Source organism: Homo sapiens, chromosome 18, assembly GCF_000001405.40.
Source record: "Homo sapiens chromosome 18, GRCh38.p14 Primary Assembly".
Taxonomy (NCBI): Eukaryota; Metazoa; Chordata; class Mammalia; order Primates; family Hominidae; genus Homo; species Homo sapiens.
Window position 1 is genome coordinate 24106694 of NC_000018.10, and position 25521 is coordinate 24132214.

The 25521-nt window shown below is 42.4% G+C and overlaps 1 protein-coding gene and 1 pseudogene across 7 annotated transcripts in view; one reads left to right on the forward strand and one right to left on the reverse strand.

Annotated features, from left to right (window-relative positions):
- TTC39C (tetratricopeptide repeat domain 39C) overlaps nucleotides 1-25521 on the forward strand; it is a 142714-nt gene that overhangs the window by 113807 nt on the left and 3386 nt on the right. For 5 of the 7 annotated variants that reach the window (NM_153211.4, XM_047437297.1, XM_047437298.1 and 2 more), the window contains 7 exons: nucleotides 7861-7954; nucleotides 11432-11539; nucleotides 17141-17250; nucleotides 18734-18857; nucleotides 22193-22290; nucleotides 23620-23724; nucleotides 25189-25227. In NM_153211.4, the coding sequence (NP_694943.2) occupies nucleotides 7861-7954; nucleotides 11432-11539; nucleotides 17141-17250; nucleotides 18734-18857; nucleotides 22193-22290; nucleotides 23620-23724; nucleotides 25189-25227 (678 nt within the window). Of the gene's footprint in view, nucleotides 1-6633; nucleotides 6973-7860; nucleotides 7955-11431; nucleotides 11540-17140; nucleotides 17251-18733; nucleotides 18858-22192; nucleotides 22291-23619; nucleotides 23725-25188; nucleotides 25228-25521 lie in introns of those variants that run through there. The other 2 variants (NM_001292030.2, XM_011525814.4) reach the window with 2 other exon arrangements.
- Nucleotides 17477-17592, reverse strand: RNU5A-6P (RNA, U5A small nuclear 6, pseudogene; annotated as a pseudogene).

Consider the following 25521-nt stretch of genomic DNA (forward strand, 5'->3'; position numbering starts at 1 on the left):
TGTTTTGTTGTGTTTTGAGACGGAGTCTGGCTCTGTCACCCAGTGCAGTGGCACTATCTTGGCTCACTGCAACCTCCACCTCCTGGGTTCAAGCAAGTCTCCTGCCTCAGCCTCCTAAGAAGCTGTCATTACAGGTGCATGCCACCATGCCTGGCTAATTTTTGTATTTTTAGTAGAGACGGGGTTTCACCATGTTGGCCAGGCTGGTCTCAAACTCCTGACCTCAAGTGATCAGCCTGCCTTGGCGTCCCAAAGTGCTGGGATTACAGGTGTGAGCCACCGTGCCCGACAGGCAGAGGATACCTGGCAATATAGTCTGGGCCAAATCCCCAAAAGAACTCGGCCTTGTTTCCGTTTCTATTCTTTTCGCAACTCTAGACGTGGAATCTTTTGCTGGGTTTTATTGGTGTTTTACTGGGCAGAGGATACCTGGTGCCTGAATGGGTGTCACCAGTGGATGGTCAAATTAAGACCTCATGAATATTAAGTACTCATGTATATTTAGTGTTGTTTGTATGTTTAATCTCATGTCTAGTTAGCTCCCAAATACCTCATGAATATTAGATATCTCTTAGGCCTTTCATCCTTCTCTAACACACACACACACACACACACACGCACGCATGTGCACTCTACTTTCTGAGTGCTGCTTTTATTCTAAATACAGCTCATGAATTTTGCCTATTCTAACTGATATGTTCTGGCTGTGTCCCCACCCAAATTTCCTCTTGAATTTTGGTTCCCATAGTCCCCATGTGTCATGGGAGGGGCCAGGTGGAGATAATTGAATCACGGGGGCAGTTTCCCTCATCCTGTTCTCGTGATAGTGAGTGAGTTCTCACGAGATCTGATGGTTTTATAAGGGGCTTCTCCCCTCCTTTGCTCTGCACTTCTCTTGCCTGCCACCGTGTTAAGATGTTCCTTTGCTCCTCCTTCGCCTTCTGCCATGATTGCAAGGCCTCCCCAGCCATGTGGAACTGTGAGTCCATTAAACTTCTCTTTTTCGATAAATTATCCAGTCTCAGATATTTATTTATAAGCAGTATGAAAATAGACTAATACACTAACAAACTTTTGTTTTTGAGACAGGGTCTCCCTCTGCCACCCAGGCGGGAGTGCAGTGGTACAAAATCACAGCTCATTGCAGCCTCGACCTCCCGGCTCAAGCAATCCTCCCACCACAGCCTCCCAAGTAGGGGGGGGGGTACAGGCATGTGCCACCAAGCCCACCTAATTTTTTGTGTTTTTGTAGAGATGGGGTTTCACCATGTTGCTCAGACTCTAACAGGCTTTTTACTTACTAGTTGCTTAAAACATCTTAAAATAGAATGTGCTTATGTTTTACAAACTGCGAACTTAGTTATCTAACAGATTTGAACATTCTCAAAGGCAAATGCACATCAAAGCTATAGAATTAGGGAACAAGGGACTATTGTGTTCTGTGATTTGTCCCTGCAGCAGTCACCTCTTGTCCGATGTTTAACCCAACAGATTGAAGTGACACCAACATTATTTTCACGCCAGCAGACAGGGCTCTGAACTGAAACCTTTGTGCATGTGAGCTTTTTGTCACTTAATGTTAAATATGATTTGGAGGTGGCACAAAAGGAAACTGCTCACTTGGGAAGCAGAATCTTATGTTACAGATTCGGGGAGGGCTGGAACTTGACATCCCTTTGGCAATATAGTCTGGGCCAAATCCCCAAAAGAACTCGGCCTTGTTTCCATTTCTACTCTTTTCGCAACTCTAGACATGGAAACTTTTGCTGGGTAGCTGAGTTCAGCAAGTCCTCTCAGTTAGGTATTGCTGGTGAGCATTTTTCAATAGAACAATAAGGAATATTAGTAGACCCCAGGCTTCATGTGTTGACTGCGACAATCATTCAGACTTTTTTGTATCTTCATATTTATATGTTGAGATCTTTATATAGGGCTTTAAAAGTACATTAGTATGGAAATATCAAGAATAGCTTGAATTTTTTAATTGTGTGGAAAATGTCACCTGTAGTTAGTTGCTCCATCCCTTTATAGTACATGGTTTATTTCTTTTTGTCCCTTCTCTTGCCACAGAACACGCATGAGTTTGTTTGGATATTAGGCAAGAGTACATTCTTGTGTATTTATGATAGAATCTTAAACAGATCTTAATTATGCCTGTTAGATAAAATCTGGAATTTCTCCTGGTGAGTCTGAAACAATTGGTAGGAAACTTAATTGCCATTTACTGTGAGTATATGTTCAGAATGTTGGAAAACAATATTGTGGATTATTTCCCACCACTATTAACAGGTGACACTTATTTTTAAAGACAAGGTACCTTTCCTAAGAGTATTATACTTAAATGAAATTTATTTCAACATCCCAGCTGGGTGCTGTGGCTCATGCCTGTAATCCCCGTACTTTGGGAGGCCAACACAGGAGGACTGCCTGAGGCCAGGAGTTTGAGAACAGCCTGAGAAACATAGCAAGACTCCCGTCTCTACAAAAAAAAAAAAAAAAAAAAAAGTTAAAAAATTAGCCAGATTGGTGGTGTGCACCTATAGTCCCAACTACTCAGGAGGCTGAGGTGGGAGGATTGCTTGAGCCCAGAAGTTCAAGGCATTCCAGCCTGGGTGACAGAGCAAGACCCTGTTTCAAATAATAATAATAACAATAATTAAACTTAAACATTAAAAAAAAATTCAACATCCCCTGAGAATATAAACAAAGCAAATTATTTCCTAGGTTCAAACTTGTGTTGATTATAAAGTTGGCCTAGAATTGGGTAGTATTGTCTAAAGTCTAATATTCTTTGTTACACTGTGTGGCCATTAAGAAAAAAATTTAAATTATGGCGATTTAAACATTTAATTATTCAGTTGAAACGCATGGCTTTAAAAAGTGAACTAGTTATTTATATAGTTCAGAGCACAGGAAATATGAAAATATTTGCAGCTGGTTCTGCAAGTCTGGCATTATCCTGATAACCAGAGTAAAGCACTAAATGAAAAATGATTGATCATGCATTCCCAATATAGAAATTCTAAATAAGCTGGATGCAGTGGCTCATGTCTGTAATCCCAGCACTTTGGGAGGCTGAGGGAGGCGGATCACTTGAGGTCGGGAGCTCGAGACCAGCCTGGCCAACATGGTGAAACCCTGTCTCTAGTAAAAATCCAAAAAATTAGCAGGGTCTGGTGGTGCACACCTGTAATCCCAGCTAATCGGGAGGCTGAGGCATGAAAATCACTTGAACCCGGGAGGCAGAGATTGCAGTGAGCCGAGCCGAGATCACGCCACTGCACTCAAGCCTGCACAACAGAGTAAGACTCTGTCTCAAAAAAAACCACGAAATTTTAAATAAATATTAGCAAATTAAATCCAACATTATAATTTTAAAATGCTATATTATGACCTAGTAGGACTTATTCCAAAAAGGCAGCCACAGTTCAGCCTCAGGTAATATGTTCCTGTTATTCCCTGCATTAAGGAAATCATTGATAAAACCATACAGTCCTGTCAATGGTATTTAATAAAATGTACTACTCAATCCAGATTAAAAAGAAAACTGTTAGTAAGCTATACATGGGAAGGACATTTCTTATTTAGTAAAAAACGGCATCTACTTGTAGCAAGCCCTGTTTAATGGTGAAACCATATTTAATGGTGGCCTCATTAAAGACAGCAATGCAGTGTGCTGTTATAAGTATTTTAACTGGTGCTCCTAGCCAATTAACAAACAAATTTGTTGTAAAAGAAGAGACAGTACTGTCACTTGCAAATTATTTTAATGCCTCCATGGAAAATCCAAGGAAATTAAATATATATATATGAGAGAGAACTCCTAAGAGGATGATATTGTGACATACACAAAATCAACTTGCCAAAATCCAGAGTTTTCCCACATACCGGCAACACTCACTTAGAGAATAAAATGGAGCAACCTCTTACAGTTGCTAGAAGAACTAAAAAATACCTAGGAATATACCTACAAGAGGGCAGGCTGGAATAACTGGAAAAATATGCTCCATCTTTCATAACAATGCCATGGCTGCCGATTATGCTGGTGTGAATTTGTCAATAAACATGCCCTACTTAATTTGGCAAAGGTTTGCGCTTTGTGTTCTTCATGGCTTTTGCTGGAAGCAGATAAAGCTAGCCAATATTGTTTCTCATTTTACTAGTGAAGAAACTGAGGCTTGGTTTTTGTGACACAGTGTGTCCAGGTATAGTTAATGAGACAAAAGCCTAGATGGCACTAAGTCAGTCCTGGCCTAGTGGCTTTTTTATTTTAATGCCTCCATGGTGGACCAGAGAAAGACTTTTTTTTTTTTTTGAGATGGAGTCTCACTCTGTCACCCAGGCTAGAGTGCAGTGGCACGATCTTGGCTCACTGCAACCTCCACCTCTCGGGTTCAAGTGATTCTCCTGCCTCAGCCTCCTGAGTAGCTGGGACTACAGACATGTGCCACCACGCCCAGCTAATTTTTTGTATTTTTAGTAGAGACGGGGTTTCACCGTGTTAGCCAGGCTGGTGTCGATCTCCTGACCTCATGAGCCACTGCGCCCGGCCTCTGTGAGAGTTTTTATGATGACAAATTAAGATATCCATCATGGGCTGGGCACAGTGGCTCACACCTGTAATCCCAGCACTTTGTGAGGCTGAGGTGGGTGGCTCACGAGGTCAGGAGTTCGAGACCAGCCTGGTCAATATGGTGAAACCTCATCTGTACTAAAAATATAAAAATTAGCCAGGCGCAGTGGCACATGCCTGTAGTCCCAGCTACTTAGGAGGCTGAGGCAGGAGAATCGCTTGAACCCAGGAGGCAGAGGTTGCATTGAGCCAAGATCACGCCACTGACTCCAGCCTGGGTGACAGAGCGAGACTCTGTCTAAAAAAAAAAAAAAAGATCATTTTTTCTTTTAAATTTTTTTGGTGAGACTGGGCATGGTGGCTTATGCTTATAATCCCGGGACTTTGGGAAGCCGAGGTGGAAGGATCACCTGAGCCCAGGAGTTTGGGACCAGCATGGGCAGTGTAGTGAGACCCCTGTCTACAAAATATTAATTAAAAAAAAACTTAGCCAGACACAGCAGTGCATGCCCATAATCCCAGCTACTTAGGAGGTTGAGATGGGAGTATCTCTTGAGCCTGGGAGATTGAGGCAGCAGTGAGCTACGAATGCGCCATTGCACTCCAGCATGGGAGACAGAGCAAGACCCTATCTTTAAAAATATATATATATATATATTTTTTTTGGTGAAAAATATGGGAAAATTTATTTCAACTGTGTTAATGGCTGTTCATCATAATTCCTCACTCAATGATCAGGATAGAACTAGAATGAATTCTGTAGTTCTACTTGCTCTCGGCATAATGCCATTGAGCTCCATAACCTGGTCTCAGTGCTTTCAAGCCCTCTGGAGGCTGTGGGGAGAACCCTTCCTTGCCTCTTCCAGCCTCTGGTGGCTGCTGGCCTTCCTTGACTTGTGGCAGCATCACTCCAGGCTCTGCCTCCATGGTTGACAGTGTCCTCTTCTCTCCTATGTGTGTCACTTTGAAGGATACATGTGATTGTATTTAGGGCCAACCTGGCTAATCCAGGATAATCTGTCTCATCTCAGGATCCTTGACTTAATCACATCTGCATACACACTCCCCGAAGAAAGCACACTTTTTAGAGGCAGTTGGGCAGAATTTTGACTATTAGTCAATTGTTACCTTGTTGACCTTGACCAAGCTCCTTAACTTCTTTGAACTTTACTTTCTTCATCCGCAAATGGAATTAATACATACCTACCTCAGAGAGTTTGAAAGGGTTAAGAGAAATGATTTGATTGAAATACTACCTGGATTTCTTTTTCCTTTCCTTAGATTCAAAGCTTTATTTGGACTCATCTTTTTATCTCCAGAGCCTGTCCCTGGCACATAGCGGTTGCCCAGTAAATGTTTCCTGATTAATTTTCTGTCCTCTGAAGGACAGCGTGCTATTGCACTGTCATGTACCATGGGGGACACGGGGGGGAACAGCTCGGTGGTGATGGCCCATCTAGAAACATTCTGTATGTGAGAACTATGTCATTAATTTAGCAAAGTGAGAGAGATGTTTGCAAAGCTGAACCCCTAATGCTGTGATTTCTGTATAAATATGCTAAATGGAGTGCATATCTGATTCAAGAAAAGAACTGTTGATCCCAAAAGGGAAAAATTAGACATAGGGTGTGACGTGTCTAGATACCTCCACCTGCGCTCATGCACACATTCCTGCGCCATAAAGGATTGATTTTTTTTTTTTAACCTTGGTGTTTTGTGTTTGAGCTGTGTGCTAACAGTCAGTGTCAATGTCTGCCTTCTGAGCTGTGGGCGATTCCCATTGTTGTGAGGTTTCCTCCAACTGGACGTTAAGTTACTGAGAACAGGAATCAGGGATGCGATTGGTGCGTGTCTTCTGTGGCTACCTGGTCAGCATTCATAAACGGTGATAATGGATTGAATGCTGCAGTTTCAACCTTCCTGACAACAGAGGAGAGTGTTACTTTGGGGCATGAACAGTTATTGATCCAGCTGGGCCTTGGTTAATGAGTCATTTGGCTTACAGTGTTCCCGAGTCACAGGCTGTCCTGAAGATCACCTGCTGACTCATTGGTGCCCTTGTTTCCCCGAGGCCTCCTGCAGTGACGTGCTGAGGAGAGGAGCCCAGGTCTGCGGGTGGGGGACCCGTCCTCTGAGAAGCCTGCAGCTTCTCCTCCAGGACCCTTCCAGCCCACCTGGCTGGCTGTGGGGATAATGGGCACTTGGGAGCATTGGAGGGGGAGGAAGCATAGAGAAAGCAGCAGGAGACGCACCTGGAAGCCCAGGGGAGGGAAGTCCACCTCCCTGCAAGTGTAGGGCAGTGAGAGGAGCCCTGGCACCAGCAGAGCAAGAAAGAAATGCATGCACCGTTCAGAATAAGCTGTCAGGTCGTCTGGCTGTTTAAGATTTATTTATTAATGGTATGTGACATTTAGCATTTCTCAATGCCTAAGATTAAACTGATGCTTTGAATCCTGATCATGCTTTTGAGCTGCTCCTCTTGGGTACTTGTGGCATCGTGTTGGCAGACCCTGAGTGACATCTTCAGCGGCGGGAAAACGAAATGTATTTCACTGGGAGTAAGTAGAGCGGACATTTGAGAGTTTGCTGGGTCCCAGACAGTGTTATGTGAATGAAAGTGTTGGAAATGTAATCTGGATCCTCAGGGAATTTCTGAAGTGTCGGGAGAGGAGATTTGATGAGCAGAAGCAATTGGAGAACAGCATTCTAGGGTATAGAAGCAAACTATCAACTGTATGGTGAAGAGCTCACTGAGAACTGGGCTAATGGAGCGGCTTCGTGCATTCACTCAGTAGCGATTGAGAGACTTCTGGGCCAGGGCTGGGCGCACACGGGGATGAAATATGGTCCCTTCCCTTTCCACACCTGTGTGGTAACAAGGGGCTAGATTAGCAAACAATTAAAATCCAACACGTCCTACTGTACAAGTGTGAGAGAACGCTGGAGGAGAAGGCGGCGCGAGCTGAGCCCTTACCACCTGAGTGAAGGAGAAGGTGGGTGTGAGCTGAGCCCTTAACACCTGAGCAAAGGAGAGAACGCTGGAGGAGAAGGCGGCGCGAGCTGAGCCCTTACCACCTGAGCAAGGAGAGGTTCTCTGTGCTTAGGTTAATTTCACAGCTGTTTGGGGGCAAATTGGAGTATTTTCCTAGCAATCTTTAAACCACTGTCTTCTATATTGCTTAACCTGTTTAAAATAACTATGAAGGAAAAAGATGCTTTTGAATTATGATGATTGTAATGTTATCGACAGATCTTAGCTGGTAATTCTGTTTTCCTTTTCTCCTTAGTGTCAAATCAACAGTGCCTTGACATCTTTCCACACTGCTTTGGAACTTGCAGTAGACCAGAGAGAAATTCAACATGTCTGTCTGTATGAAATTGGTAAATATGAAATGTCTGTCCAGCCTCTTGTTAAGAAGTAGTATTAATGCAGTATTTTAGCTTTCATGCCATTCAGTGTGTGTCTACAAAATGCTTGGTGCCTTCTGTAGTAAGAAGGACTTCAGTTATTCCCGTAGCACATGCAATGATACTTCTCTCTGATTCTCATTACGTTTTTATAACATTTTTTCTTTACAGCATTTTGATTTTTTAGGATAATAGGTGATGTTAAATGAATTGATTAAATGACCAGAAATACCTTATTGGACTGCATTAGAATTCAAAGCTCTTTGTTCCTCCTTCCCACTAATGTTTACTTGAGAAGAAAAATAGGAGACAGGAGATAGTTGGACTGAAGTCCCAGTGTTTTTCACCAACTAGCTCTGAGACCTTGGACAAGTTGCCCAAACCTTCCTAGCCACATAGTTGCCATTGGAGTTAAGGTGCCTCCCCTTGTAGCAGCTGTGAGGTTTAGATGACATGACGTGTGAAACCTCATGCAGGGGGCCTGGCACGGAAGGCCCTCCATACATGTTAGCTGCCACCTTCTGCTTCTCCCTTACTGGAGAGACAGTCACCAACAAACCTGGAAGGATTTATCTGCCCGAGATTTTCCCCATTCTCCTCCAGAATTGTTGCTATGGGTCTTTGCTGACTGCACTAAAACTCTGATCCTATTACATTAGTAATTGCAAAATCTTTCTGTGTAACAGTTTCTCCATTGTGCTGGGAAGAGTAAACACAACTTTGAACTTGAAACAAAAAAAAATTTTAAATAAGGGACTCAGACTTTTCAGAGTTTCAGCGTAGCTAATGCTACAAGGTCACACCATGTAGCACATAAAAAGGAATGACAGAGGCAAAGAGAAAGGAGAAATGATGAGATAGTGATGAGACTCCAAAGGGAAATTGAGACTTAAAAAGCTTTCTGCAGAGGGACAGGGAAGTGGAGACAGAATGCTCAGGGAAGCAGTTGACACCTGTCAGTTTGGGGGGTCAGGCCCTGTGCTGCCTGCCACTTGCTTTGCCTGCTGTGGACACAATTGTCTTCCTGAATCCTTTTAAGGAAAACTGAAAACCAAAAGATTGCGAACTGCCCAATAAACAATATTACGTTTTAAATGCCTGTTGTGGTTTAAAAAGAGGAAATGATGTATAATCCAGTGGAAAATGTGTTTTTGTGTCTTCTACACTCTGCTGGAGCTCTGCTTAGTAGCCACAATATAGAATGAAATGTGCTTCAAAGAACTTGAATGAAAAACTCTAGCTTTGGTGGCCTTTTGTTGGTGCATCATTTCAAGTCCTATGACAGGATAGGATGTTAGAGCAGAAGGAAGCTTAGAAATCACCCAACCCAGGCCTTAGGAAGGTTAACTCAGGAGTTGGTAGTAACTCGGGCTTCCGATTCAGGCTCGGAAGCTTGAGTTGGTACTTTTTCCTGAGTTATTCCTGACTTATTCCTGAGTTATTCCTGACTTATTTCTGAGTTATTCCTTATTTATTCCTGAATTATTCCTGACTTATTCCTGAGTCAGTGCTTCCTTCCATCTCTATTTTGTATTTAATTCCAATCTTTCTCCGCTATCTATGCTAGGATAAAAATAATCAGCCCAGGCCGGGCACGGTGGCCCACGCCTGTAATCCTAGTCCTTTGGGAGGCTGAGAGGGGCAGATCGCCTAAAGCCAGGACTTCGAGACCAGCCAGGTCAGCATGGTGAAACCCCGTCTTTACCAAAAATACAAAAATTAGCCAGGCGTGGTAGTGGGCGCCTATAATCTCAGCTACTCAGCAGGCTGAGGCGGGCGGGAGAGTGGCTTGAACTCAGGAGGCAGAGGTTGCAGTGACCTGAGATCCCACCACTGCACTCCAGCCTGGGTGACAGAGTGAGAGTGTGTTTCCAAAAAAAGCCCAAATTTTTACTCTAAACTATGTCAATATCACATCCCATAGAATTTGACAGTGAATTTTCTGAAGTGTATATCTCACACACTCTTCCTCCCACGGTTTAAATGGCAAGTCTCAGTTTACACAATTACTTAGTGATGCACCTGATAACAGAATATTTTTTATGGAGGCAGTATCATGTAAAGGAAAGTGTGTTGGATTTTGATCCACAGTTATTCCTTCTTAGTTGTATGGCTTCAGCAGGTAGCTACCTCTTGATACCTTAGTTTTTTTTTTTTTTTTTTTTTTTTAAGACAGGGTCTCACTGTGTCATCCAGGCTGGAGTGCAGTGGTGCAGTCTCAGCTCACTGCAGCCCAGACCTCCCCGGCTCAGGTGATCCTCCCACCCCAGTCTCCCAAGTAGCTGGAATTACAGGCGTGCACCACCACACCTGGCTAATTTTTTATAGAGATGGGGTTTCACCGTGTTGCCTAAGCTGGTCTGGATCTCTTGGGCTCAAGCGATCCTCCCACCTCAGCCTCCCAGAGTGCTAGGATTACAGGCATAGGATTAGTCCTTGCTAATACAAGGACACTATTAGCCCCCTTTGCAAGGTTGTCATAAGGATTAGAGAGCGTTACATGAAGTGCTTACCACAGCATTGGCACACATTAGAGGCTCAGGTGATGGGGGCTACTGTGATGAAAAGTGGGAATAAAATCCTTTACATTTTAGTTGCTGCAGTTCCTTACTAGAATGCCCATTTAACTGTTTCGATCCAGGAAGGTGGGGTTCTTTCACTACCAGTGTGCTGAGGGAAGGTAGGGAAATGCCTAATTTCTCATTGGCTTGCTGTCTAGATCTTATAAAGTTTTGAGAATGAGTGGGCCAAGCACGGTGGCTCACACCTGTAATCCCAGCACTTTGGGAGGCTGAGGTGGGCAGATCACTTGAGGTCAGGAGTTCAAGACCAGCCTAGCCAACATGGCGAAACCCCATCTCTACTAAAAATACAAAAATCAGCTGGGCATGGTGGTGGGTGCCTGTAATCCCAGCTACTTGGGAGGCTGAGGCGGGAGAATTGCTTGAACCCAGGGAGCAGAGGTTGCAGTGAGCCGAGATCGTGCCATTGCACTCCAACCTGGGTGACAGAGCAAGACTCCTTCTCAAAAAAAAAGAAAAAAAAAAAAAAAGAATGAGTGGTAGTCACTGAGTACATAATCGAGTGGTGTTGCTTCCACTGTTTCTTATTGCACCTGTGTGTACTCTTGGAGAAGTACTGCTGTGCTTGGGTTAGCCTCACGACTGTTAGGACGTAAATTGGAGTGTCTTTCTAGAAATCTTTATGCCATTCTCTTCTGTGCTGTTTTATTGGTTGTCTGACTCAAACCTAAGTGCCTTGTCAAATTCAAACTTTACATTGAAAGTATTTAAGGGAAAAAATAATTTCTTAGGTTTTCAGGTTAAACTTTTTTACGCATTTCATAGAACATGCACAGAGAATGATCGCCATATCAGAGGCTCGTGGCTTAAATATGGGTCATAGAGCTCAGTACTTTAGGGTCATGTGCTAAAAATATTTCTTTCATAGGTTGGTGCAGCATGATAGAGCTCAATTTCAAGGATGCATTTGATTCCTTTGAGAGGCTAAAAAATGAGTCCAGGTGGTCCCAGTGCTATTATGCCTACTTGACTGCAGGTGAGTCGCCCATGGTCCCTCAGTGTGCCTCTCTCTGTCGTGAATTAGCTCGCCTGACGTGGGCAGATGGGAGAATGATGGCAAGAGGAAGCAAAAGTTGTACCCCTCCACAGCCTTCCCCAGCATGTTAATGTTTTGTGCAACCAAGTAAATAGTGCTAGAATACTGTGTTCACTGACCCAGGTGAACACCCAGAAATTCAGTAGTGCCCAGGGTGCCCCTTCACCACACGCTTCCCCTCTGGGCCTGGCTTGGTCCTGTTTTGTGTCTTGGAAATGCATATTATGAGGTCTTCCCCGTTACTGTATATTTTGCCCTAAGTTGCCTCAACCTGTCTCTATCCCTTTACTTAATATGCTATGTTTTTTATTGGGATTCTGAAGAATTTTTAAGAATTGAACAGTCTTTTTTCAGTGTGTTAATTTTTTTTTTTTTTTTGAGTCTGGGTCTTGCTCTTTTTGCCAGGTTGAAGTGCAGTGGCCTGATCACAGCTCACTATAGCCTCAACCTCCCAGGCTCAAGCGATCCTCCTGCCTCAGCCTCCAGAGTAGCTGGGACTACAGGCATGCCCTACCACGCCCAGCCAATTTTTTAAAAAAAATTTGTAGCAACAAGGTCTTGCTATGGTGCCCAGGCTAATCTCTAACTCCTGGCCTCAAGTGATCCTCCTGCCTCAGCCTCCCAAAGCACTGGGATTATAGGCATGAGCCTCAGAGCCTGATCTGTGCTAGTATTTTTGTTTGGTTCGTGCCCTGGTTACAAAGTTGCATAGGTCTGAGTCATCTGCTCCAACCTTGTTTTACCTCATAACTCTATTATATTTACAGTATAATATTTTAGATGCAAGGTATTTACATTGCATATCGTTATTAACACCTGTATTCTGTTTTGAATTAAGTGTTTTTTTGCCCATGTATGAGGAGATAGAGATGTGCTGCCACCTGGTGGCCAAAGTAGTTGTCTGCATCCTTCAATACCTAAAAGGCCACGTGATTCAGAGTTGTAGAGGTGTGGAATTGAAGAAAGCCAAGCGGTTGTACCTTTTCTGCCTCTAAGCAACTTCATGTAAGCCTTTTCTGGTTTGTGTAATGAACTCTCCTCTTGCAGCCACATGAGTGGTTCTTTTACTTAAAATTCAAGACTAATCCAAACATTATTTTCAATACCTTCTTATTCTTAACGTTCAGATTTAATGACCATCTTCCACTTCCATTCTGCCCTCTTAACTGATCTATATAAAATAAGATAGGGTTGATGAACATTGACCAATAAGGATATTCTGGATCTCTTAAATTCCCTATAAAATTGCATCGGTCCATTAGCAAATGGACCCCAAAAGTCAGTGCAAAGCCCTCTTTTGTCCATATTCCGCATTGCAATCCCTGTTGACAGGCGTGTTCTCATGGCTCTGTCCCTGATGTTTGAATAAGCTTATTTTTCATATACTGGATAATATGCTGTGTCTCACACTTAAAGGATTGTTGTATAGAATTTGAAGACATCTCAGATGAAAGTAGCAGCTATTTGTTGAGTGACTCAGTGTGTTTAATACGTTGAAGAGTGGATGAATCCAGATTGAATAGCCCAGAAAAGAGAGGCCTGCACACAACTCCGCAGCCATTAGGTGTAATTGGGCCGCACAGTCGATGGTGGACAGCTATTTATTTTTTCATCTTTGTTGAGTTTCAAATACATAAATGTACAGCGTGGCTGTATAGAGGAACATTAATTCCCCCCCCCCAATATTTGGCAATCCCAGAACCATACCAATCATAGCAGAGGATAAGCATGAAAGATTCTGATCTCTGTTCCTGCATTGGGATTTTGTAGAGAGGATAAGATGTGGGTGAATAGCTCCAGTACAAAGAGTACATGAGGCAAGGCCAAGGCAGGCAGATCACGAGGTCAAGAGATCAAGACCATCCTGGTCAACATGGTGAAACCCCATCTCTACTAAAAATACAAAAATAAGCCAGGCGTGGTGGCGCACACCTGTAGTCCCAGCTGCTTGGGAGGCTGAGGCAGGTGAATCACTTGAACCCAGGAGGCAGAGGTTGCAGTGAGCTGAGATCGCTCCACTGCACTCCAGCCTGGCAACAGAGTGAGACTCTGTCTCAAAAACAAAAGAGTACATGAGGCAGGGAAGGAGCACCGTTACACTGTCCTGCAGGAGCTGCCATTTGGGCTGGCCGTGAGCTAGAGGGCATGGGCATTCAGGGACCCCAAACACTGCCACCAGGGCTTAGCTCCCCAGCATGTTAATGTTTTGTGTGACTATGTCAATAGTTTTGTACTTTTAAAAATTGTGATAAAATATGTAGCATCATTTACCATTTGAACTTTTTTAGGTGTATGTGTCAGTAACTCCAGATAACGCTCAGATTGTTTTGCAAACATCACCAGCATCCATCTCTGGAACTTCTTCATCATCCCAAACTCTACCCATTAAACAGAAACTCCCCATTCACGTTTTCCCCGAGACCCTGGTTACCACGCTTCTACTTCCTGTCTCTATGAATTTAAGTATTCTACCTACCTTGTGTATAAGTGAAATATATTTGTCCTTTTGTGTCTGGCTTATTTCATTTAGCATAATGTCTTCAAGGTTCATCCATGTTGTAACATGTGTCAGGATCTCCTTCCTTTTTTCAGGCTGAATAATATTCCATTGCATGTATATGGCACATTGTTCATCCATTCATTCATTGATGGACATTTCGGTTGTTTCCAATCTTTTTGCTATTGTGTGGAGTGCTTACCTGGAACATTGGTATACAGACATCTGTTCCAGTCCTTGCTTTCAGTACCTTTGGGTAGATACCTAGAAGTAGATTTGCATGATCATATACCTCTACTATTCCTGCAACTTTTCTGTAAGTTTGAAATTATATCAAAATTATAAGTTACCAAAAAATATTAGAATATAACATATGGGATTGTGTATATTTAGTCTTATTGGAAGAGTCAGTCATCCTAAGCTCTGTTTAGGCCTCATATTTTAGGATAAACCAGAGACTCCCATGACTTTAAACATCTGCATCTTTTAAAGCAACTATCTGGCTGGGGGCGGTGGCTCACCCCTGTAATCCCAGTACTTTGGGAGGCCGAGGCGTGTGGATCACCTGAGGTCGGGAGTTCGAGACCAGCCCGACCAACAACCAACATGGAGAAACTCCATCTCTACTAAAAATAAAAAATTAGCTGGGTGTGGTGGTGCATGCCTGTAATCCCAGCTACTCGGGAGACTGAGGCAGAAGAATTGCTTGAACCCAGGAGGCAGAAGTTGCAGTGAGCCAAGATCGCGCCATTGCACTCCGGCCTGGGCAACAAGAGCAAAACTCTGTCAAAAAAAAAAATCTATCTATAATTTTACTGCAAGAGAAATAGGTGGTGTTCGTTCTTCAGGGTCTGAGGTATGGATGTTATAGACCTTTGGGGTGGTTCAGATACCGTTGCTGTTTATGACTGGCTTTAATTATGTGATTGTATAAGAATGTTCTCAATGATCTGAGGAAGACCTCAAGCTAGGGACAGCAGAAATATATTCTTTTTCATTGATTTACTCTGTGACCTTAGGCAATGCTCAGCTTTTCCAGACCTTTGCATCCTCTGATCTAAAAATAATGGGGTTGGTTGCACAATACAGCCACTGAGCTTCATTCTGGTTTGGAAATGTTACAGCTGCAATTGATAAGGTCATTTTGGATTGGTGCACACTCCTCCATCTGGACCAGAGATGCCCCAGTGACTGGGAAAGGAGTTGTCCCTTCCTTTGAATATTCAGCCTCATCACTCTTAATCCCAGTAGGAGGAACCTGCCGTCTTTCCCATTGTCTTTGCATCCTCAGCTCTCTCCGAGCCTCAATTCTTGGACCCTTGGGCTCTGCCGATGGTAGCCTATCCTGGTACGTGCACGCCTGGGATAGGTGACTGCTTGACCATGCCCAAATGCGAGTACGGGACCAACCTACTTTTAGGGGTGCTCAGGTAACGAAGGGGGAACTAGCCAGGCACAGTGGCTCACACCTGTAATCCCAGCACTTTGGGAGGCTGAGGCAGGCATATCACGAGTACAAGAGGCCAATATGGTGAAACCCCATCTCTATTAAAAACACAAAAATTAGCTGGGCATGGTGGCATGTGCCTGTAGTCCCAGCTACTCAGGAGGCTGAGGCAGGAGAATTGCTTGAACCCAGGAGGCGGAGGTTGCAGTGAGCCGAGATCACGCCACTGCACTCCTGCCTGGTGACAGAGCAAGACTCCATCTCAAAAAAAAAAAAAAAAAAAAGAAGAGGGAACTAGCAAGTCAACTTTAGTGCATTCCAACTGGGGAGTGAAAAACCACATGTGATCTAACAAAATTGAATAGAAATGGATTCCGCAGCATCAGAGTTGGGAGGAAAGGATGGAGTTGTGGTAAAGTTTCAAGCAGTAGTGGGGCTGCAGCCAGTGCAAAGTTTGCATAAGGGACAGAGAAGACACAGCAAAGGGAGGATCATTAAATCTTTGGGGCCTGAGGTGAGAAGAAGGTGTGCACATGATCATGATCAAAATCTCACTCATTCCTCAAGACTCCGCTCGACTTCTCCTAGCTCCTTACAGCGTCTGGTCACTCCAGAGAGAAATGATCCCTTCTCTTTCTGAGCCTTCTGAAAACCACTTTGGTTCTCCTACCCTGACTACTCCTATCACTACATACATTGCAGCTTGTGGGACCCTATGTGCGTGTGTGAGCATGTGTGATCTTTTCAATTGTAATTTCAGTTTCTTTAGGATTCAAGCACATGTGTTTCTTCTTCACATTGTTGCTGGTGGCTTATAGGTAGTAGGCAGCCAAGGAACTTGGACAGGACAGATTGATGACTTCCTAGGACAGAGAACTCCTCCTTCTACCACGAAGCTTTCATGATCCTCGGGGCTCTTCATTGTTCTTTCCTGGGTTCCTATTTATTCCACTTTGAGTATGTGAGCCCTAACTAGGTTGTACACTGTGACAGTAGCTAAGGATTTTGTTATGTGAAAAACTGTCTCCCCAACAAGAGGACAAGGACCATGGCTTTCCCCAGGTCCCCCAAAAGCTCTGGGAACACAGGAACCTGGGAAATAGTTGAAGGACTGCAGGACGGTGCAGTCCTTTGTGGAACAGTCTTTTTTTTGTTTGTTTGTTTGTTTGTTTGTTTGTTTGTTTTTCTGAGACAGAGTCTCATTCTGTCGCCCAGGCTGGAGTGCAGTGGTGCGATCTCGGCTCATTGCAACCTCTGCCTCCTAAGTTCAAGCGATTCTCCTGCCTTAGCCTCGCAAGTAGCTGGGATTACAGGCATGTGCCACCACGCCTGGCTTATTTTTGTGTTTTTAGCAGAGATGGGGTTTCGCCATGTTGGCCAGGCTGGTCTCGAATTCCTGACCTCAGGTGATCCACTCGCCTCTGCCTTCCAAAGTGCTGGGATTACTGACATGAACCACCATGTCCAGCCCATTGTGGAATAGTCTTTAAACATATTTGCTCCTGCTTTTTTTTTTTTCAAGTATCATCACTTCAGGTATCCCTTATGGCATTTTCCCTGACTTGTACTTAAGAAATATAATTATGGTTTCTTACAGTTTGTCAGGGAGCCACTGGTGATGTGGATGGGGCACAGATTGTCTTTAAAGAAGTTCAGAAACTCTTCAAAAGGAAAAACAATCAGATTGAACAGTTCTCGGTGAAAAAGGTATGTTGGAGCCTATTGATCTGGTGTATTACTTATGATGGGCATTTGTAACCAACACTGCCTTGGCAAGCTTTAGGAAATTATATTCAAGGCTGCCTATTTACTTGCCACATAAAGTGCAGTTCACCGCCATGCAGAGGATTCTCTCCATGATTGTACATCTGCTCTGAATAGAAGATTCTTGCCTTGCTGCAAATAATGAAAGCAGATTTTTAAAAAATCGATGAGTCCTGCAGATACAGGGCCTCAAAAAATTGGGTTAAGACTCAGAGTGGTTCCCCTTCATGGAAATCTTTAGCAAAAGGTGAAAGATATATATGATCTGAAGGGTAACTGGAGTATAGTTTTTTTTTAAATTTTAATGAATGGAGACTATACGTTCTGCAGAGCTAATGAACACACCTCTAGAGAGAAAGGATCTGTCTAAAGAATTGGGTGGTTTTGGAAGAATACAAATTGGCAGGACCTAGTGAGAAATGCAGGCTGTCTGGGGTTGAGAATAGAGAACACATCACATTTTGATGTAATAAAAAGCAAATGTGTGTGTCACAGTGTCACAGTTGCCAGCAGAAAGGCCCAAGACTGTAGAGACAGTATTCCTATGTATTCTGTACTTCTGTGAATACAATGTTGCCGTATTACCTTGAGTTATGTAGTGTCTTATATCCTGAATTATCAGTTATTTTAGTTTTATATGTTTTTATTGAATGAACATTTAATGAAGCTTTTGAGTATAAATTTGATTATAATGTACAGCAGAGAGCACTGGCACTCAGTAGAAAATTTTAAAATCAAGAGAACTGTGACTAAAAGGCATCTAGTCTTAGTTCCTTAGGTGTGTGTAAGCCCGTTGAATTATTAGCTGTCACCAAGCTTTATAAATTCTGTCACTCTAAATGCATGTAAATCTAGTTTCATCCCCAAGTTTTCAGAATATACACTGCGTCTTTTTTTGTTTTTGTTTTTGAGACGGAGTTTTGCTCTCATTGCTCAGGCTGGAGTGCAATGGCGTAATCTTGGCTCACCGCAACCTCCGCCTCCCAGGTTCAAGCAATTCTTCTGCCTCAGCCTCCCGAGTAGCTGGGATTACAGGCATGTGCCACCATACCCGGCTAATTTTGTATTTTTAGTAGAGACGGGGTTTCTCCATGCTGGTCAGGCTGGTCTCAAACTCCTGACCTCAGGTGATCTGCCTGCCTTGGCCTCCCAAAGTGCTGGGATTACAGGCGTGAGCCACCATGCCTGGCCCCACCCTGCATTTTGATAGTAGGTTCAGTTGAATAATGAATGAAAGGCATAATTTCCAGTCTGTCAAAAATTGAAAGCAACATTTTTTATAGAGAGAAGAATTGTTATTCTTAGCTTTGAAGGAGAGGGTCATTCACATTGATGATGAACTGTGTGCTTTTAAAGTGTCTGAGGTATATTTTTTATTTGAATTTGTTTTTGAAAAATGTAGCCTGTTTATTCTGACTCCTTGCAGGCAGAGCGATTTCGGAAGCAAACCCCAACCAAAGCGCTCTGTGTGTTGGCGTCTATTGAAGTGTTGTACTTGTGGAAAGCTCTTCCAAACTGTTCCTTCCCCAACCTGCAGAGGATGAGTCAAGGTAAAAAATTTAAAAAAACCCAAAACTGTCTACTGGACACACTGGCTTCTTCTGTCAGTGCGGCATTCTTCAGTTTCCCGTTTATTTCATGTTTATCTCATCGGAGTCAGGGAGAGTACACATCTCTCCTTAGATAGAGGGTGTCGTGATGAAGAAAATCCTGTCACTTAGGTGATGGGAGGAGGAGGCAGCACTGCTGTGGACAGATATGCTTGCCTTGAACATGTGCTGCTTTTGTTATAAATGTTATTAATTCTGTAGCTGTGGGAGTTGCTGGAAGCATACATTTTTTCTCCCCGAGAGTACTTTGTTTCATTTAGGTGTGATTCACATAAGTAAAAAGATACTAAAGTGTGGCCTGGTGGGGTGGTTCACCCCTGTAATCCCAGCACTTTGAAAGGCTGAGGCAGGCAGATGGCTTGAGCCAAGAGTTTGAGACCAACCTGGGCAACATGGTGAAACCCTGTCTCTACTAAAAATACAAAAATTATCTGGGCGGGGTGGTGTGCACCTATAGTCCCAGCTACTTGGGAGACTGAGGTGGGAAGATCACTTGAGCCCAGGATATCGAGGCTGCAGTGAGCTTTGATCATGCCCCACCACTACAGTCTAAATGACAAGAGGGAGATCCTGCCTACAAAAGAAAAAGGGGAAAAAAAAAGAAATATGTTCTTCTTCATATATGTGCTGCATTTTCCCAAGAAATTAGTATTGACAGTGTAGACATAATATTCCAGAAATAGTTTATAAGCCACTGTAGAAAATTTTTCAGATTTTTCTCCAGTTACTCTTCTTTTTGACCAAATATAGCATGATCCATTGAGCCACATATTTTTATCATCAGATTTCCTGCAAATCCCTTTTGCCTATTTCTTTAAAAAAAAAAAAAAAAAAAAAAGGCCTTCCTCAAATGTGAAAACAAAACATTGCCAATTGCCAATGTTGCTATTCTGGAGATCAAAGGAACAAAACTCCGTAAGAAGTTTTGTACAGTGGCCCTGTAATTCGAGTAGATGTGTAACCCTCCCAAGGAGGAACTAGCAAGGAAACAGAATATTCTTGGATGTGTTAAATTCTGCTATGTTCTTTTTAATTTTTTTTTTTTTTTTAGTTTTTAGAGACAAGTCTCATTCTGTTGCCCAGGCTGGGTGCACTGATGTGTTCATAACTCACTGCAGCCTCAAACTCCTGGGCTCAAGTGGTCCTTTCACCTCAGTCTCCTGAGTAGCTGGGATTACAGGCGTGTGCTACTGCACCTGGCTACTGTATTTATTTTTAAAGGAGTTGCATAATTCAAAACCCCTCCCTTCCTATTGAAGCAAGCATAGAACATCTATAAATGTCTAACTCAAAGGAACAATGAAGAATATTAAGTATTTTTTAAATACACAAGTACAGGATCACATATTTAGAGATAAAATACAAATGCAAATATAAGGTAGGCAGTAATTAACATTCACAAGAACAATTACCAGTTAAGTGAGATTTGACAAAATATTCTCTGAACCCCTTTCCAGGTATCAAAATGAAAAAACTAACAACAAAGATATGTGCCTGGAAGGGAAGACAGACAGTATCTGAAGTGAGCATGAGATAATTCTCTAATATCTTTGCTAAATTTAACCCAGTTCTCAGGTCTATTAATTAGATTATATCATTCCTCAATGGTAAGCAGTAATGGTACAAACTGATCCAACCACATACAGTACAATGAAGATCTTTGTAGAGAAAGTTATGTTCCAGAAAACAGCAGTAGTGGCAATGTAGATCATAAGCATTTATTAAACTCTGCATCGTGCCCTCCCAGTTTTGTGCATTTAGCTTATCAGAGTCCCCATCCACAGCTCCCTGTACCAGCAGAACTAGTGAGAATCCTATATCCTTGTCTTGTAGTTTCATCCATAACCTTTCCCCACCCACCTGCCCTTCTCCACTGGATTCTTCCTTTGTGTCGTTTTTTGTTGTTGTTTGTGTTTTGTGTTTTTGAGACAGGGTCATGCTCTGTCGCCCAGGCTGGAGTGTAGTGCACAATCATGGCTCACTGCAACCTCTGCCTCCCTGGCTCAAGCGATCCTCCAACCTCAGCCTCCTGAGTAGCTGGGACTACAGGGGGCATGCCACTACACCCAGCTATTAAAAAAAAATTGTAGAGATGGGGTCTTGCCATGTTGCCTAGGTTGGTCTTTAACTCCTGGGCTCAAGTGATCCTCCCGCTTTGGTCTTCCAAAGTGGGGGGATTACCAGCATAAGCCACCATGCCCAGCTACATTGTAAACATGTTTGTTTTCTAGGTGCTGCAGGCAGAGTGATCCTATTAAAACCTAATCATGTTGTGTCACTCTGCTTCCCAGAATCCTCTGTGGTCTCTTATCTCATTCAGAATAAAAGCCCAAGTCCATTCAGCAGCAGGCAGTGCTCCCAGTCTGTAACCCTCGAGGCCATTGTCCCTCCCTGCTCTTCTCCCTTGCTCAGCACGGTCCTCCTCCCTGCTCTCAGACACACCTGGCCCCTGTGCCTTTGCACTTGCTCTTCTCTCTGAGAAGGAATTTTTTGTTTGTTTTGTTGTTGTATTCTAAGCACCTAGAATTGCCTGGCAAATAGTAGGCTCTCAATAAATATTGAATGAATGAATTAGTGTAATGAATGAATGAATGAACAAGTGAGTGAACTGCATTAAGGTTTCCTTAATGTTGCTGCCTTAAAAGTCTCTGAGTTCTTTTTCGTATGAGCGTATTCCTAGCCTGGCTTTCTGGGGCAACTCCTGCTTCTACAAGATCAGCTTCTATTCTTCACATTTACCTCTTCCTCTCACCTTCAAGTTACTTGTTCTGTAACTTCAGTTCTCTCTTTCTATCTATATATAATATTATATAAAATATAAATATGTATATATAAAATAGTAAGATATATATCTTATTGAATCTCAGTATCTTTATTAGTCTTTGGAAATAATGGTGTTACTTCCTTTCTTCCTCATCAGCTCCATCATGTTTCCATTCTGCATCTTTCTCATTTTCTTGGAAAACTCCCGTAACATTCTCTAACCTGTGTGTCCATCCCCCACAGCTTGCTGTTGAAGTGGAAGGGTCAGTTCTGATCCTCTCCCACTGACTAGTACAGTACCTCATACAAACATGGAAAGGTGCCTATGGTATGGCAATTTAATGTGAAGTCATTTTTAACAAATTAACATAACTTCTTTTATTAAGAGCAGTTTTAGGTTCATATCAGGAGGCAGAAACATGAACTGAAACATTTACCTCACTCTTCATGATATTGAAGGAATTAAGTGAATGCATTTGCTTACTGCTCTGTTCACTCCCCTTCTTTTTAAGCTTGCCATGAAGTGGATGACTCATCTGTTGTTGGATTAAAGTATTTGCTTCTTGGTGCCATACACAAATGTCTAGGAAACTCAGAAGATGCTGTTCAGGTAAACTGTTAATGTTGTCAGGGCTAAAGAAAATAAGTCACGAACACCTACGTATATGCTTGTGAATAAGAAAAATGAAAAAGCACTGAACGAAACCGAACCTCCCACTATAAACTTTATCCAATTATTTGATTAATGCCATCTTCTCAGATGCTAGAAGTTGATGATGGTTAATACTAGTTTTTAATTAACTTCATATTCTTAGAATGCTTCTTTATATATGGCCTCCTTTTCTGGCACTAATATTTATCAAGATGACAGCCTCCACTGGAGAGAGGAGGACATGAGGAGGCAGTTTTGAAGGAGCGGAGTGAAGTCTCATTGTTAGACAAGAACAAAAATGATCAGACATGTCAGTGTGCATTCAGTTTTCTCTCTTTATAACTGTGGATTATTGATGCAGCCCTGGGGGTCAAGCGAGAGAGTTGTTTTTTTGTTTGATTGCTTGTTTTGAAGAAGTATATATCAGTGTTACTTTGACTACTCTTTGAAAGAATCAGGGTACAGTGGCCGGGCACGGTGGCTCACACCTGTAATCCCAGCACTTTGGGAGGCCAAGGTGGATGGATCACTTGAGGTCAGGAGTTTGAGACCAGCCGGGCCAACATGGTGGAACCCCGTCTCTACTGAAAATACAAAAATTAGCCAGGTGTGGTGGCATGCACCTGTAATCCCAGCTACTCGGGAGGCTGAGGCACGAGAATTGCTTGAACCCAGGAGGCAGAGGTTGCAGCGAGCTGAGATCATACCACTGTACTCCAGCCTGGGCGACACAGCAAGACTCCATCTCAAAAAAAAAAAAAAAAAAAGAATTAATGTACAGTAATAGGAGACTCTTGGCTTTTAAATCCTAGATGATAATGTCCTTGTAAGTTTAATCTTTCAGTATGGGCTTATGATAGTTATCACAGCCCTAAATAGCTTATTTTAGATCAAATGCTTATGTGCTAGCAAGATACAGTCAAGACGCATGTCGAGATCATAGTTACCTTGTGTGTTTTCTGTTTTAAATATTAAAATGGGATGTTTAGACTCTTAGATGCAGATAAAAGATGTTCTCAGTGATAAAATCAATAGAGGCTAATATGTCCCCTGGAAAAATAGTAGCACAAATTAGGCAGTCCAATATATTCTGAGGAATGCACATCAGGCAGCATGTAAAGGACTTCTAAGATGTAGATAGGAAAGAATGAAGATGAGGAAAGAAGAGAAAATCTGATCTAGAAAACAGAGTATGAGTCCCCCTTCCCGCCCCCTCTTGAAGATTATAATAAGCCTTATGCTAAGTAGGAAAATGAATTCATCCAATAACATTTGCATTCCTTTCAGTACTTCCAGCGAGCTGTTAAAGATGAATTGTGTCGTCAGAATAACTTATATGTTCAGCCGTATGCCTGTTATGAACTTGGCTGTCTTCTATTAGACAAACCAGAGGTAAGATCTTATATATATAATATAATATATATTTTTAATGTTGTTCAACAAAAATGTGGAAGTGGGCAAGCACAAAGCACCCTTCATTTAAAACAAACTGAACACAGTGTTCTTCATTTTGTTTTCCTTGGTTTTACTTAGAATGAATCCAAGAAGTTAGTAATACTACCTTATTATCTTTAAGGAGGTAATTTCTTCCCTAGCATTCAAATTACAGTCATACATCTCTTAATGACATGCTGAGAAATGCGTTGTTAGGCAATTCCTTCCTTGTGCAAACATCATAGAGTACTTACACAGACCTAGGTGGTATCACCTACTACACAACCAGGCTGTATCTATAGCCTATTGCTTCTGTGCTATAATTGTGTACAGCATGTTACTGTATTGAATACTGTAGGCAACCGTAACACAATGGTAAGTATTTGTGTATCTAAATATAGAAAAAGTATAGTAAAAATACAGTTTTTAAAAGTTAAAATATGGCCAGGCTCAGTGGCTCATGCCTGTAATCCCAGCAGTTTGGGAGGCTGAGGTGGGAGTATCACTTGAGCCCAGAAGTTCAAAACCAACCTGGGCAACAAAGTGAAACCTCATCTCTGCAAAAAAAAAAAAAAAAAAAAAAAAAAAAAAAAAAAAATCAAAAAACATAGTCAGGCGTGGCAGCATGTGCCTGTAGTCCCAGTTAACCTGGGGGGCTGAGGTGAGAGGATCTCTGGAGCTTGAGGTTGCAGTGAGCCATGATTGTGCCACTGCACTCCAGCCTGAGCAACAGAGCAAGACCCTGTCTCAAAAAAAAAAAAAAAAAGTTTATAGCTATGTATAACTTACTGATTCAGATAAAACCTTTTGATAATCATTAATTTTAAGGTTGTTTAGTAAGATTTTAACCTAAGATATTATATCTTAGAGGTTGCCTTTTATAGACTATGAAAAATTATTTATCAAGTGATTATATATCAAGTAATGTCCTCATGTAAATGAGTAAACATCTTTATATTAAAAAATATTGGGGCTGGGCGCAGTGGCTCATACCTGTAATCCCAGCACTTTGGGAGGCCAAGGTGGGTGGATCGCTTGAGGTTTGAGACCAACCTGGCCAACAGAGCTAAATCCCGTCTCTACTAAAAATACAAAAATTAGCTGGGCATAGTGGCAGGTGCCTGTAATCCCAGCTACTCAGGAGGCTAAGGCAGGAGAATTGCTTGAACACGGGAGGCAGAGGTTGCAGTGAGCCAAGATCATGCCACTGCACACCACACTCCAGCCTGGACAACAGAGTGAAACTCCATCTCAAAAAAAAAAAAAAAAGAAGAATATTGGAGTCATTATACTTGAATGAACAGTTGACTCATTGCTATGTCTACAGTGAATTGTTTTAATTAACATAGCCTCCTATTATACCATTTTCTGCCTGCGTATATATAAACACAGATTTTATGGGATAATGTGTTTTTCTTATAGACTGTAGGAAGAGGCAGAGCTCTACTTCTTCAAGCAAAGGTAAATATCCTGAATCTACCTTTCTCCAGTGGCCCTTCTTATCCCATACACTGTATACCTGAGTCTGAATTCAAGAAAGTTTGTGCAATGATGTTCTGGTTGGTAATATTTCTGGAAAGGAAAAATGACAACCAATTGAATCAGTGAGCTCTTGAGTTTTAAGGGACATTACAAGATCATAAGGAACTTCGATGAAATTGTTCATCCTGCTTTAGAAACACTCTTAGTCTTTGGGTGGGAAGATAACTTTTGATTTTATAACTATGTCCCTGAATTAAGAATTTCTAATAGCAA